This window comes from Homo sapiens, chromosome 18, assembly GCF_000001405.40.
Source record: "Homo sapiens chromosome 18, GRCh38.p14 Primary Assembly".
Lineage (NCBI taxonomy): Eukaryota > Metazoa > Chordata > Mammalia > Primates > Hominidae > Homo > Homo sapiens.
This window is the reverse complement of record NC_000018.10, coordinates 23,116,839-23,131,724: the sequence shown is the minus strand read 5'-3', so window position 1 is coordinate 23,131,724 and position 14,886 is coordinate 23,116,839. Positions and strand designations below refer to the sequence as shown.

The window sequence follows — 14,886 nt, the reverse complement described above, 5'->3', positions numbered from 1 at the left end:
GAGACTACCTGAGGAACATTTTACAAACTTTAAAGTACTTTTTAAAATGTCCGTTGTTATTTATACCATCCTAATCTACTTAGTCCCTGAATTATTCCAAATTCATTTATTTTTCAACTACTTAGTCATTGATCAAGTTTTACCAAGCAACTTCTACATCCACAGTACCATCTGTGACAAAGGGATAAAAAGAAATGTGGCCCTTAGCCCTTGTGACCTTGATAGTTACAACCATGGAAAACACATTTAAATGAAAATGCAAAGCCAACCCTGATTAAGTTTCAAATGCGCAACTGGACTATAAGCATTATCAGAATATGGAAAAGAAGTTTTTTGTTTTTTTTTTTGAGACGGAGTCTCGCTCTGTCGCCCAGGATGGAGTGCAGTGGCACAATCTCGGCTCACTGCAAGCTCCACCTCCCAGGTTCACGCCATTCTCCTGCCTCAGCCTCCCGAGTAGCTGGGACTACAGGCGCCCGCCATCACGCCCAGCTAATTTTTTGTATTTTTAGTAGAGATGGGGTTTCACCGTGTTAGCCAGGATGGTCCCGATCTCCTGACCTCGTGATCCGCCTGCCTCGGCCTCCCAAAGTGCTGGGATTACAGGCCGACCGGAAAAGAAGTTTTTTATTTGCAGTGTGGGGGAAGGCCTTAGGCAAGAGCCAGGATTTGAGCTGATCTAGGAGATTCAGGAGGCCAGGAGGAGGATCCTTGCAGAAGAGGAAGTTTGGCATACAAATTCCTCATGCATAGCAGGCCTGGAGGACTAGAACTTGAAACGTGATTCTACTTGGTCAGCCACGTTCCCCCTTCTCCCCCTTCCCTTTTATATTGCCCCTTTCAAGTGCCCATTCTGAAACTTTGTAGCACACATGAATTCAAAATGCATGTACTGTTTTGATGGAGACATATTGGAGGTTAGTTTTTAAAAAGAAAGGAAAAAACAACCTACATGTAATCACTGGCCCTTCAAAAAAATAATTCAGCAGACTGAGAAGTCTGAAAATTAGCTTAGGCTCCTAGAAACATGCGACCTTGTAAGGTCTCCAGTTTGTGGATATTACAAGCTTTGTTCCTTGGTGGCCTCACCTACCTTATCTATGGATGAAGGTAGGTTTTGCAATATTTTACCTTGCAGGGTTGTGAGGGTTACCAACAATATAAATTATGTAACTAGCAGAGTACCTGTAGTTCAGTGGGTAGCTATTATTAGAAAAATGCAAAATACAGAAGGTGAACATTAAAAAGGCCAGAATATTTTAGGTTCTAGGTTTTTATAGTTTTCACTGATCCTGAGACCAGTGAAATATTAGCATGCCTTTCCAGGCAGGAACATGAGAAGCTTCAGCTGTTAGCTCCTGCTTAAATCAGATTATTTTACGGTATTTTCCATGAAAGTACAGGCTGGCACTGGACTGTCGATCTAACAGGCATAGTCTCCCTGAGAAACCTGCTGCTTTCCTTAATCCAATGAAAGTTAAATCCTGGCTAGGCGCGGTGGCTCGTGCCTGTAATCCCAGCATTCTGGGAGGCGGAGGTGGGCGGATCATGAGTTTGGGAGTTCGAGACCAGCCTGACCAACATGGTGAAACCCCCGTCTCTACTAAAAATACAAAAATTAGCTGGGCGTGGTGACGCGTGCCTGTAATCCCAGCTGCTCAGGAGGCTGAGGCAGGAGAATCGCTTAAACCTGGGAGGTGGAGGTTGCAGTGGGCTGAGATCACGCCACTGCACTCCAGCCTGGGCGACAGAGTAAGACTCCGTCTCAAAAAAAAAAAAAAAAAAAAAGAGCTGTATGCACAGAGTTCAACTGGTCCCCAGCCTACCCCCTAGAATAGAGGCTTTTTCAACTTTTGTCCCCAGGGCCAGCCATCTAGGACACCCTCTTCTCCCTACACAGGAGAAAATGCCAAGGGGACATGGTGTCCCTGCTACTTCCTGCCAAAGTTCTGTCCTTCAAGTCTCCTCTTCCTGCCCGAGAACCTGCCCTTCTCTCAATGATTGGCACCAGCAGCCCCTGATACTGTCGTATCATAGGCCCAGACAGGATTCTTTTTGTCTCTGGACCTCTGACACTATGTGGAAGAAAGAGGAAGAGTGATATTTTACTGCAGTTCCTTCCAGCTTTTATAACTTGTGTGAGAAGCCGAGAGAAATAGGCGATGGGGCATGTCCTTGGGACTGTAGGGATGGTCATATAAACATGTGTCACTCATTATCAAGGACAATAGTTCAAGCCAAGAATGGATGTAAGTACCTCGTCAATCTGGGAAGAAGTGTCAATGTTCCAGATAACCCTTCCTCATCTCCACTGTCTTTTTAGAGTATATATCCAAAAACAATAGTGCAAATGCATTTATTCTTCAAGTTTCCTCTGAGTCATCAAAAGTCTCCCTTCCATGCAGCTCAGCCAATCATGGAGGAGAAGGGGAGGCATTGGGAATGGAATGGTCCATTCAATAAGCTCTCCAAAAGAACGTCCTGTGCGGCACAAGGGTGCGGCTTGGGTTTGTCGATCCAACTTATCACTAGCTCTGGGACCTCTAGGTTTCAGCTTCTACATCTTCAGACTAGAGCAAATCCTATCTACCTCACATGGTTATGATGCAGATTAGAAACAAGGCCTGCATAAAACTCCTAGCAAGTGTTGAGTACACAGTGGGTACTCGTGAGTGGTGGATATTACCATGATTCAGAGGCCTGCTATTGACACTGAACCCCAGAGGACCAAGCTGCTCAGCAAGTGAGTGGTAGACGTCCTGTGACATTTTTAATTTTAATTCTTAGTTTTGAGACGGGGTGTCACTCTGTCACCCAGGCTGGAGTGCAATGGCAGGATCATGGCTCACTGCAGCCTTGAACTCCTGAGCTCAAGCGATCCTCCCACCTCGGCCCCCCAAGTAGCTGGGAATACAGGTGTGCACCACCATGCCTGGCTAATTTTTGTATTTTTTGTAGGGACAGGGATCTCGCTCTGTTGCCCAGGCTGGTCTCGAATTCCTGGCCTCAAGCCATCCTCCTACCTTGGTCTTCCAAAGTGCAGGGGTTACAGGTGTGAGCCACTGTCCCTGGCCAAGATATCCTGTTAAATGTGAAAAACTGTTTTTTTCTACTCACACAGAATGCTTCTGACACCAAATATGTGTGGGGATTTTCCTACACCAGCCAATGCTCGGACTCTCAGACACCAGCTGAGTGTCCTACAAGTCAGCTCAATTCTGACACCATCTCCCTGGAGTGAGGGTCAAATCTCACAAGCGAAGGGCCTTGTCCCACAAGACTGCCCCCCAATTCAGATGCCAGTTGCAGGTAGTGGGTGCCCAAGTTACACACACTTCTGTCCAACTTGGCTGCAAATCGGGGCCCACGAGCCTCTCCCAAGATTCGATCATTTGCTGCAATGGCTCACAGAACTCAAGGAAACACTTCTGTTGACAGGTTTATTAGAAAGGAGATGACAAAGGACACAGAGAACAGCCAGGCGAAGAGGCACAGAGGGCAAGCTCTGGAAGGGTCCCAAGCTCAAGAGTGCCTGTCCTCGAGGAGCTGGGGGTGCCACCATCCCAGCATGTGCACGTGTTTACCCACAGGGAAGCCCTCTGTCCTCCGAATGCTGGGGTTTTTTTTGTTTTTGTTTTATTTTGTTTTGTTTTTGAGACGGAGTCTCACTCTGTCACCCAGGCTGGGGTGCAATGGCGTGATCTCGGTTCTCTGCACCTCTGTCTCCCTGCAACCTCCGTCTCCCAGGTTCAAGTGATTCTCCTTCCTCAGCCTCCCGAGTAGCTGGGACTACAGGCACGCACCACCATGCCTGGCTAATTTTTATATTTTTGTTAGAGATGGGGTTTCACCATGTTGCCCAGGCTGGCCTCAAACTCCTGGCCTCAAGTGATCCGCCCACCTCAGCCTCCCAAAGTGCTGGGACTACAGGCACGCACCATCACCCCTGGCTAATTTTTGTATTTTTAGTAGAGATGGAGTTTCACCATGTTGCCCGGGCTGGTCTGGAACTCCTGACCTCAAGTGATCTGCCCTCCTCAGCCTCCCAAAGTGCTGGGATTACAGGTGTGAGCCACCGCGCCCTGCCTGAATGCTGTCTTTTAGGGAATTTTATGGAGGCTTCTTCACATAGCCATGATTGATTATTAACTCAATCTCCTTCCCGGGGGATGGGAGCCAGGGGAGAAAGTTCCAAGCTTCTAGTCATGGCTTGGTCTTTCTGGTGACCATCCCCATCCTGAAGCTACTCAGGAGCCCATCAGGAGTTGTCTTGTTAGAACAAAAGACACTCCTATAACCCAGGAAATTACAGGGAGTTTAGGAGCTCTGTGTCAGGAACCGGGATTAAAGACCAAATATTAGAACAAAGGATGTTCCTAGCACCCATATCAGCCAGGAAATTACGAGTGTTTTAGGAGCTCTGTGCCAGGAACCGGGGGCAGAGACCAAATATATATTTCTTATGTCACGCTGCTAAAGGCATTAACTACCGTGGAAGAAACCTGGCATCAAAACTGTGTTAGGAAAATACATTTCAGATGCTTCCATGAGCTGTCCTCAATCTTCCAAAAAGGGATCGTTCATGCCCAGAATACCACTTCTGATCCAACTGCAGAATTTATATGATATTGGCATTTCAAAGGAAATGAATAAATCTTCTTTGTTATATTACCTTTATTCTTAAATCATAGCAAACTCGTGATTTTATTTTCTTTGAAATTAACCTGGTTTTATATTCTTTGAAATTACGCTGAGATGCATGAATAACCAGCTCAGGGACAATGAAGAAACCACCCCTAGTGTAATTACAGCTCATAAACACGCAACTTACAGATGGCCTGTGTGCATGAACCTCCGGATGCTGGCTCCTCTAGACTCTGCACAGACAGGCAGGGCAGGAGGCAGTCCCGCCTACAGGGCTCTCTGTCTCCCAGTATAACAGCACTGTTTTATAGTGATTGCATTTGTTTAGATATTCTCACATCAGAGTGGGATGGATGTGGCCAGGTTCTGGGGGAAACATCACCACTTTGCCTGCCACTGGGCAGTTCAGCTGGACTAGTTAGTGGGCCATGGTGACCTTCGCTGCCCACGTAGATGAGCAAACTACAGGAAGAGACAACTCATAGAAGGTGAGAGCAAATGCCTGGCAATCACTAGGAGAAGTGAGAGTGATGGGCGTTCTTATACTGTTGGTGTAGCGTAAATCGGAACAACCATTCCAGGAAGTCATTTGGCAATATGTGTCAGGAGCCTCGAAAAGTTCATGATTGACAGCATCAGCTTTGGAGGCAGACTGAACCAGGTTACATTTTGGCCCCACTCTCATGGCTTTGAGCACTTTCAGCATGTTCCTCTACTTATTTGTGCTTCAGTTTTGTCATCTGTGCAATGGGAATGATAATACCTCCCTGATAGCAGTGTTATAAAAATTTATTGCAGTAACATTAAAAAAAAAATGCTTGGAGGCCGGGCACAGTGCCTCATATTTGTAATCTCGGAACTTTGGGAGGCTGAGGTGGGAGGATTGCTTGGGGCCAGGGGTTCAAGATGGCAGTGAGCTATGGTCGCACCACTGTACTCCAGCCTGGCCAACAGAGCAAGACCCTGTCTCCAAAAAAAAAAAAAAATGCTTAGAACATGGTGAGTACTCAAGAAATGTGATTAAAAATTCTAAGGAGCTATTGAGAAACAAGATCAAAGATTTATGCACAAGCATTCATTGCAGCATTGTTTAAAATAAAGAAAACTTGAAAAAAGAGACCCTAAATGTGGAACAGTGAAAAGATAATTATGGTTTACTCAAACAATGGGATATTGTGTTTCCATTAAATATAATCATTTTTGGCCGGGCGCAGTGGCTCATGCTTGTAATCCCAGCACTTTGGGAGGCCGAGGCAGGTGGATCACTTGTTTGAGACCAGCCTGGCCAACAGGGTGAAACCCCGTCTCCACTAAAAGTACAAAAATAGCTGGGCATGGTGGCGCATGCCTGTAATCCCAGCTACTGGGGAGGCTGAAGCAGGAGAATTGCTTGAACCCGGGAGGCGGAGGTTGCAGTGAGCCAAGATTGCACCATTGCACTCCAGCCTGGGCAAAGAAGTGAGACTCCATCTCAAAAAAAAAAAAAAATCATTTTTACCAAGCTTTCTTAATGATGTGAAAAATGTTTTTGAAACAATGCTAACCAAATAGAATAGAAACTAGGTTGATCACAGTATCTCAACTTTGTAAAAAAAATAAAAAAGAAGAAGAATGAAATTGTTCTAAATACTCCTATGTGTTGAAAGGCTATATATAACCAAAAGGTTAAAACACTGGCTAGGCCGAGCGCGGTGGCTCATGAGTGTGTAATCCCAACACTTTGGGAAGCCGAGGCGGGCAGATCACAAGGTCAGGAGATCAAGACCATCCTGGCTAACACCATGAAACCCGGTCTCTACTAAAATGCAAAAAATTAGCCGGGTGTGGTGGCGGGCGCCTGTAGTCCCAGCTACTCGGGAGGCTGAGGTGGGAGAATGGCGTGAACCCGGGAGATGGAGCTGGCAGTGAGCTGAGATCGCGCCACCGCACTCCAGCCTGGGCGACAGAGTGAGACTCCCTCTCAAAAACAAAACAAACAAACAAAAAAAACACTGGCTAGTAGGGTTATGGTGATTTTTATTTGCTTCTTTTTGTTTATCTAAATAGAAATACGTGCATGGTCATGATAGGAACTGCTTCCCAGTTAACACTTTTTGAAATTTTATTTTAAATGTATAGAAATAAATCTTGGAAGAAAATATGTCCAGATGTTACGTGGTAGAATTATTGGGGACTTTTTTTCCATTTCTTTAGGAATATTGGGAGATAACTAGCTTTCTCTGCCACGGACGGTAGGACGTGGCTGGGAAGAGAGGAGAAGGAAAATGCCCTTGGCAGGGGGCCTGAGGATGAATGCTGGTGCGAAGATAGGGATGAGAAAGGAAAAGGGGCTGGGCACAGTGGCTTACACCTGTAATCCTAGCACTTTGGGAGGATGAGGTGGGAGGATCACTTGAGGCCAGGAGTTCGAGACCAGCCTGGGCAACAGAGTGAGACCCCTGTCTCTAAAAAAGAAAAATTGAAAAAATTAGCTGGGTGTAATTGTGGCACTTACCTATAGTCCCAGCTACACTGGAGGCTGATGCAGGAGAATCAATGAAGCCCAGGAGTTTGAGGCTGCAGTGAGCCATGATTTTACCACTGCATTACAGTCTGGGTGACAGAGTGAGATCCTGTCTTTAAAAAAAAAAAAAAGGGTGGGGCATGGTGGCTCATGTCTGTAATCCCAGCACTTTGGGAGGCCAAGGCGGGCAGATCACGAGGTCAGGAGTTCGAGACCAGCTTGGCCAACATGGTGAAACCCTGTCTCTACTAAAAATACAAAAATTAGCTGGGTGTGGTGGTGCATGCCTGTAATCCCAGCTACTCAGGAGGATGAGGCAGGAAAATTGCTTGAACCCGGGAGGCAGAGGTTGCAGTGAGCCAGGAATGCGCCATTGCACTCTAGCCTGGGTGATAAAGTGAGACTACATCTCAAAAAAAAAAAAAAAAAAAAAAGGGAAAGGGCTTTTTGGAGGTAGCTGACAATAATGAATGGACCTGCCAGGACAATTAGATTAAAAGGATTGTAGTGATGAATAACAGGAGATTAGTCGAAAAACTGTATCTCGGGCCAGATTACCAGGGCCTTGAATCTAAAATTTAAAAGTTGAACCTATAGGTACTAGAGAAGCATAGATGATTTTTAAACAAGAAGTTAACATGTTTGTCGAAAGTCAAAATGAAGAGGCATTAGTTTGGCAAATGTGCATAAAGGATTGAGGAGAAAGTCTAAAGGAGTGGAAAAGGTTTTTCTGATTCATTCCTCCATTTATGTATTTATTCATCTGACATTCATTGAGTGCCTACTCTGTGCCATGCTCTCTGCTAGGCACTAAGGGCAAGGCAAGGTTCCGGGTTTCAAAGAGTTAACAGCCTGCTGAGAAAATAAGACAAAGTGAACAAAGGGGACAACGGTGGGTTACCATTTATGTGCAAGCCCTGAAATGATCATTTCTTTTTTTTCTTTTAGAGACAGGATCTTGTTCTGTTGCCCAGGTTGGAGTACAGTGGTGTGATCATGGCTCAGTGCAGCCTCCAACTCCTGGGCTCAAGTGATCCTTCTGCCTTAGCCTCCCAAATAACTGAGACTACAGGTGTTCATCACCATGCCTGGCTAGTTTTATTTTTTTATTTTTTTGAGATGGAGTCTCGCTCTGTCACCCAGGCTGGAGTGCAGTGGCGTTGTGCAATATTGGCTCACTACAACCTCTGCCTCCCAAGTTCAAGCAATTCTCTTGCCTCAGTCTCCTGAGTAGGTGGGATTACAGGCACCCGCCACCATGCCCAGCTAACTTTTTTTTTTTTTTTTTTGAGACAGGGTCTCACTCTGTCACGCAGGCTGGAGTGCAGTGGTGCAATCTCGGCTCCCAGCAACCTCTGCCTCCTGGGTTCAAGCGATTCTCCTGCCTCAGCCTCCTGAGTAGCTGGGATCACAGGTGCCCGCCACCACGCCCAGCTAATTTTTGTATTTTTAGTAGAGATGAGGTTTTACCACGTTAGCCAGGCTGGCCTTGAACTCCTGACCTCAAGTGATCTGCCTGCCTCTGCCTCCAAAGTGCTGGGATTACAGGTGTGAGCCACTGTGCCCCGTGCCTGGCTAGTTTTAAACTTTTTTGTAGAGACAAGGGTCTTGCTAATCTTGACCCAAGCTGGTGACCCAGGCTGACCTTGAACTCCTGGCTTCAAGCTATCCTCCCACCTGGGCCTCCCAAAATGCTGGGATTACAGGCATGAGCCATCATGCCCAGCAAGTGGTCATTTCTGTCTACACAGTTTCATTGAACTCTCACCACAACCCTGCTGTTTATTCCATCTGACAGATAAAGAAACTGAACTCCGTGGAGTTAAGCCTCAGGTCACATGGCTGATCCCTGGATAGTTAACATCTGAGATGTTAGTGACTATGGACGGTGACTCCTGGGGACAAAGAAGCCCCACGGAGAGGGCAATATTTGAATTTAGATTCTAGTTTACATGTGAAACGGCATTTCAGGCCGTGCAGAGGCATTAACTTAGGACTCTATTACAACAATTCAGGCCCGAGACAATAAAACTTGGACTTGGCAGAGAAAATGGAAAAGAAGGGTCAAGTACCAGAGACATTATGAGGAAAAACTGATTTCCAGATCTCCAGTCTAGGGGGCAGCTGTAATTCCTGAAAAAACCAAAAGCACCCTAGGGAGGAAAGAACAGATTTGAGGGTAAAACGCTGGCTAAATTTGGGCCCGAATTCCTGTTCTACACCCTTACACGTGGGCGCCCAGTGAAGAGGGTAAGAAGTCCTCATTTTGTAAAAATCACAATTTCACTTGTATTTATCAGATTGAAAGAGAAGCAGGCTTTGAGTTTGTACTGACACAGTCTTCCAGTTTGGTGACACATAACTTCCAACAGTGAGTGGCTGAGAATGCCAGCCCCTGGAGCCCCAGACCTTGTCCATAATCACACTCCCTTTGCCCTCTGGGACACCATTCAGCTGCTGAACCAGCATCCTGGCCCACTTTTGTGATACACCTAAGAGAAGACTTTGGAGGCTGAACATGGTGGCTCACACCTGTAATCCCAGCACTTTGGGAGGCCGAGGCAGGCAGATCACTTGAGGTCAGGAGTTTGAGACCAGCCTGGGCAACATGGTGAAACTCCGTCTCTACTAAAAATACAAAAATCAACCGGGAGTGGTGGTGGCATGTGCCTGTAGTCCCAGCTACTCGAGAGGCTGAGGCAGGAAAATCACTTGAACCTGGGAGGTGGAGGTTGCAGCGAGCCGAGATCACATCACTGCACTCCAGCCTGGGTGTCAGAGTGAGACTCAGTCTCAAAAAATTTAAAAGAGAGAGAGAGAAGGCATCAGAGACATATCATTCCAGGATGAGGGGCATCTCAGCTACTTTCTAGGACTCTGATTGCAGGTGACAGAAACCGAAGTGAAAGCTTCAGGAGAACTCAAGGATGTAGGAGGGTCTCAAGGAACACAGAGATGGGAGTACACAGCCTGAGCCCCGGCACACCTGACAAACACGGACGTGGACACCTGGGAACTCTCTTTTTCTTGTCCCCCGACTTTCTCCCTATGCCTAAATCAGGCTCCCTCTGCAGGTTAGGTTCCTCTGCTTCTCTGGCCCATGGGGCAGGAAGTGTGGCCCCTGATGGATTCCCACCTTTGTAATTGACAGACATTGGACCCTCTTGGTTTCTTTTTCAGATTTACAAAGAAAGGCTGTGATTGGTAAAGTCTGTGTTGAGCAGGCCCTGGACCCGTAAGTGGGCGGGGTCTCAGCTAACAGGTATTCCCGCTGGGAAGCAGATGGATGGTGTGTGGTGGGGAATTCTCAGAAGGGAGCTGTGGGGGCAGATAAAACAACAGGGGTCGGCCGGGTGCGGTGGTTCATGCCTGTAATCCTAGCACTTTGGGAGACCAAGGCGGGCAGATTGCCTGAGCTCAGGAGTTCGAGACCAGTTTGGGCAACATGGTGAAACCTCATCTCTACTAAAATACAAAAAAAAAAAAAAAAAATAGCCAGGCGTGGCGGCGTGTGCCTGTAGTCCCAGCTACTCGGGAGGCTGAGGCAGGAGAATTGCTTGAACCCGGGAGGCAGAGGTTGCAGTGAGCCGAAATTGTGCCTCTGCACTCCAGCCTGGTGACAGAGTGAGACTCCGTCTCAAAAAACAAACAAACAAACAAACAAACAAAAAACCCTCAAAACATGTACTCATGGTTTGTTTTGTTCAGCCTGGCAATCCCAGCACCCAGACAGTGCTTGGCATAGAGTCAGGGCTTAGTAAACTTTCGATGGAATGAATTAATTAGAATATTTTTTAATCACTTCAGATAAAGAAGCAGCCTTTCTAAGTATAACATAGAACTCAGAAGCCAGAAAAACAAAAGTAAATTCAGCTACAAAAAGAAAAAATTACAAATAATTATATGGGGCAGAAAAACAAAATCAAAAGACAAATATTATGGGTGGGAAGAATTTGCAATTCATATCACAAAAATGTCTTCCCTTAATATTTAAAGAAATCCTAAATATTGATAAGAAAAAGCCAATAATACAATAGAAAAATGGGTGAATGATATGAAGGGTCAGTTCCCGGAATGTGAAATACAAAGACCCCTTGAATATAAAAGAGAGACTCCACCTCTTTCGTAATACAGGAAGAGCAAATAAACTCTAATGAGATACAGCTTTCACCCATCAGATTGGCAAAGGTCAGAAAGATTGGGAAAAAAACTATTGTTTACTGTGTATAGACTTAAGAGGCAAGGAAGGCTGGGCACAGTAGCTCACACCTGTAATCCCAGCACTTTGGGAGGTCAAGGCGGGCGGATTACCTGAGGTCAGGAGTTCGAGACCATTCTGACCTACATGGTGAAACCCCCCATCTCTACTAAAAATACAAAAAAATTAGCCGGGTGTGACGGCGGGCACCTGTAATCCCAGCTACTCGGGAGGCTGAGGTAGGAGAATCCCTTGAACCTGGCAGGTAGAGGTTGCATTGAGCCGAGAGCATGCCATTGCACTCCAGCCTGGGCGACAGAGCGAGACTTCATCTCAAAAGAAAACAAACAAGAGGCAAGGAAAGACCAGCTGAGATGGTATAGTATGGAAGATCTCTTCAGATGGCAAACGGACGATATGGTATATCTTGTGACCCACTTCTAGGAATTTACCCTGCACATATACTAGCACATAAAAATGAAGAACATTCGGGATCATATTTGTTGTAGTGTCATTAGTAATAGGAAGACATTGGAAATGGTCATCATAGGGCTGGTTAACAAATTCTGACAGATTCATACAATGAAATATTGTGCAGTCTCACTATGTTGCCCGTGTTGGACTTGAACTCCTGAGTTCACTGCAGCCTCAATTTCCTAAGCTCAACTGATCCTCCCATCTCGGCCTTCCAAGTAGCTGGGATTGCAGGCACCTGCCACTGTGCCTGGCTGGAATAATCTATGAATGTGTTATGGAAAGATCTCCAAGATGTAGTGTCATCTGAAAACAGCAATCTGTGGAGTAGTGCGTATTTCATGTTATCATTTGCATTTAAAAAAACCCCACATACATAGGTATTTACTTAGACTATATATAGAGTATCTCTTGGAGGGTACCCAAGAAAGTAGAAATAGTGGTTGCCTCTGGGGAGTGAAGCTGGGTGGCTGGAGAACAGAAATGTAAATTGTGTGTGTGTGTGTGTGTGTGTGTGTGTGTGTGTGTGTGTGTGTGTGACGGAGTCTCGCTCTTTCTCCCAGGCTGGAGTGCAGTGGCTCAATCTCGACTCCCTGCAACCTCTGCCTCCCGGGTTCAAGCGATTCTCCTGCCTCAGCCTCCAGAATAGCTAGGATTACAGGCGTGTGCCACCACACACAGCTAATTTTTGTATTTTTAGTAGAGACGGGGTTTCGCCATGTTGGCCAGGCTGGTCTTGAACTCCTGACCTCAAGTGATCCTCCTGCCTTGGCCTCCCAAAATGCTGGGATTACAAGGGTGAGCCTCTGTGCCCAGCCAGCCGAAATGTAAATTTTCATTCTAAACTTTTTTTTTTTTTTTTTTTTTTCTGAAGTGGAGTCTCACTCTGTCCCCAGGCTGGAGCGCAATGGCCCGGTCTTGGCTCACTGCAACCTCCGCCTCCCGGGTTCAAGCAATTCTCCTGCTTCAGCCTCCCAAGTAGCTGGGACTACAGGCACGTGCCACCACGCCCAGCTAATTTTTGTATTTTTAGTAGAGATGGGATTTCACTATGTTGCCCAGGCTGGTCTTGAACTCCTGACCTCATGATCCGCCCGCCTCGGCCTCCCAAAGTGCTGGGATTACAGGCATGAGCCACCACACCCGGCCTATTCTAAACTCTTACATGTTTTGAATTTTGTATCATGAGCTCGTGTTACCTTTCCAAATGATAAATGAAATTAAGAAAAATGTGTGTTACTTTAGCATTCTGCTCCATAATATATCCACTATTGATGTGATGTAAAAATAATGTTTTAAGTTATTTACCATTTACACTAATTGATTTTCCCTCCCCAATCTTTGAGTGCAATTAACATTCTAGAAAGACACTCCCCATTTATCCTGGGACAGTCTCCCAGGCACACCAGCAAGTATCCTCTTGCTGAAGAGAACACAAATGTTTGGCACATCAAGTAGCTGCTCCACAAATTCGAGTTCCTATCCTCCCTGGGAACAGAACCATTCCGGGACAGGACTTGGAGGGAACCCCTGCTCCATTGGCATGGGCAGGAGGCTGGGTGAGTGCCTAATGTCCCAAGCAGGGCCTTAGGAGGCATTATCCCATGAAATCCAAGGCTGCACAGGCTCCCTGCTCTTCATCATTAACAGCAGTGGCTTGTCAGGATGTGGCCCTGCCACCTTCCTGGACCCACCTTCCTGGATCTGTCTCTTACACTGTAGCCCTATGGAATTATCTCAGCTTGGCATCTTGGCACATTTCTTTGGCTGATTCTCCTTCTCGATTCTTCAAAACCCAGTTTAAACCACCTCTTCCCAGTGGAGTCTTCCAAGAGTCCCAGGGCTTCTTCGTGGCTCCACGGCTCCCACACTGCAGTCCTCCTCTCTTTGGCATTTGTTGCCTTGCATGGTGATCGCTGTCTGTCTCTGACTTTCCTGGGAATTCCTTGAGGACAAGGACTCTGTCTTATTCATCTTTAAATTCTTAGCCTACCCTAGTGCCTGGCACATAGTAGGTACTCAGAAAGAAGAAAGTATTTCTGAAATGCATGAACATACCAAGAGCTACGAGGTCCCATTTAGGGACTGACACATGCTACTGGGAAGTTCTGGGGAAGTCTCGTACATAGGTACATTTAATCTGAGCCTTAAAGAACAAATCCCACGGGGCACAGTGACTCATGCCTGTAATCCCAGCATTTTGGGAGGCCGAGGTGGGTGGATCACCTGAGGTCAGAAGTTCAAGACCAGCCAGGCCAACATGGTGAAACCCCGTCTCTACTAAAAATACAAAAATTAGCTGGGCATGGTGGTGCGTGCCTGTAATCCCAGCTAGTCAGGAGGCTGAGACGGGAATCGCTTGCACCTGGGAGGCAGAGGTTAGAGTGAGCCGAAATCACGCCACTGCACTAGCCTGGGTGACAGAATGAGACTCTGTCTGAAAAAAAAAAAAAAAAGGAAAGAAAGAAAGGAAGGAAGGAAGGAAAGAAAGAAAGAAAGACAAACCCTCACATACTGGACAAAAGGGAAAAGTAGGCATTTTAGGCAGAGAAAACAGTAGGCATTTTTTTTTTTGAGACGGGATCTCACTCTGTTGCCCAGGCTGGAGTGCAATGGCATGATCTCGGCTCACTGCAACCTCCACCTCCTGGGTTAAAGCGATTCTCCTGCCTCAGCCTCCTGAATAGCTAGAATTACAGGCACCTGCCATCATGCCTGGCTAATTTTTGTATTTTTAGTAGAGATGGGGTTTCACAATATTGATCAGGCTGGTCTCAAACTCCTGACCTTGTGATCCGCCTGCCTCGGCCACCCAAAGTGTTGAGATTACCGGCGTGAGCCACCGTGCCCGGCCCAAAAATGGCTTATCTTTAAGCATGAGAGGGGAGGGAGAGGAACCGGGGAGGCAGGTGGCACTTAGGTCACACAGCTTAGGAGACAAATGTTAATGGGTTGTTTGAAATTGGTTCAGGATGCAGGACAATTCTTTGTTGTGGGTGACTGCCTCACACACTGCAGGTCACCTGAGTCCCTGGCCTCACATAAATATTAACAGTGTCCCCCAACC

General features: G+C 46.5%; 2 annotated features.

Moving 5' to 3' along the window:
* Positions 8,684–9,235: an enhancer, noted in NCBI's record as "NANOG hESC enhancer chr18:20702454-20703005 (GRCh37/hg19 assembly coordinates)". NCBI's record gives its function as "activates a minimal SCP1, AML or CMV promoter by ChIP-STARR-seq in naive H9 embryonic stem cells {active_cell/tissue: H9 hESC(naive)}" and the evidence as "EXISTENCE:reporter gene assay evidence [ECO:0000049][PMID:30033119]".
* Positions 10,099–10,598: an enhancer, noted in NCBI's record as "H3K4me1 hESC enhancer chr18:20701091-20701590 (GRCh37/hg19 assembly coordinates)". NCBI's record gives its function as "activates a minimal SCP1, AML or CMV promoter by ChIP-STARR-seq in primed H9 embryonic stem cells {active_cell/tissue: H9 hESC(primed)}" and the evidence as "EXISTENCE:reporter gene assay evidence [ECO:0000049][PMID:30033119]".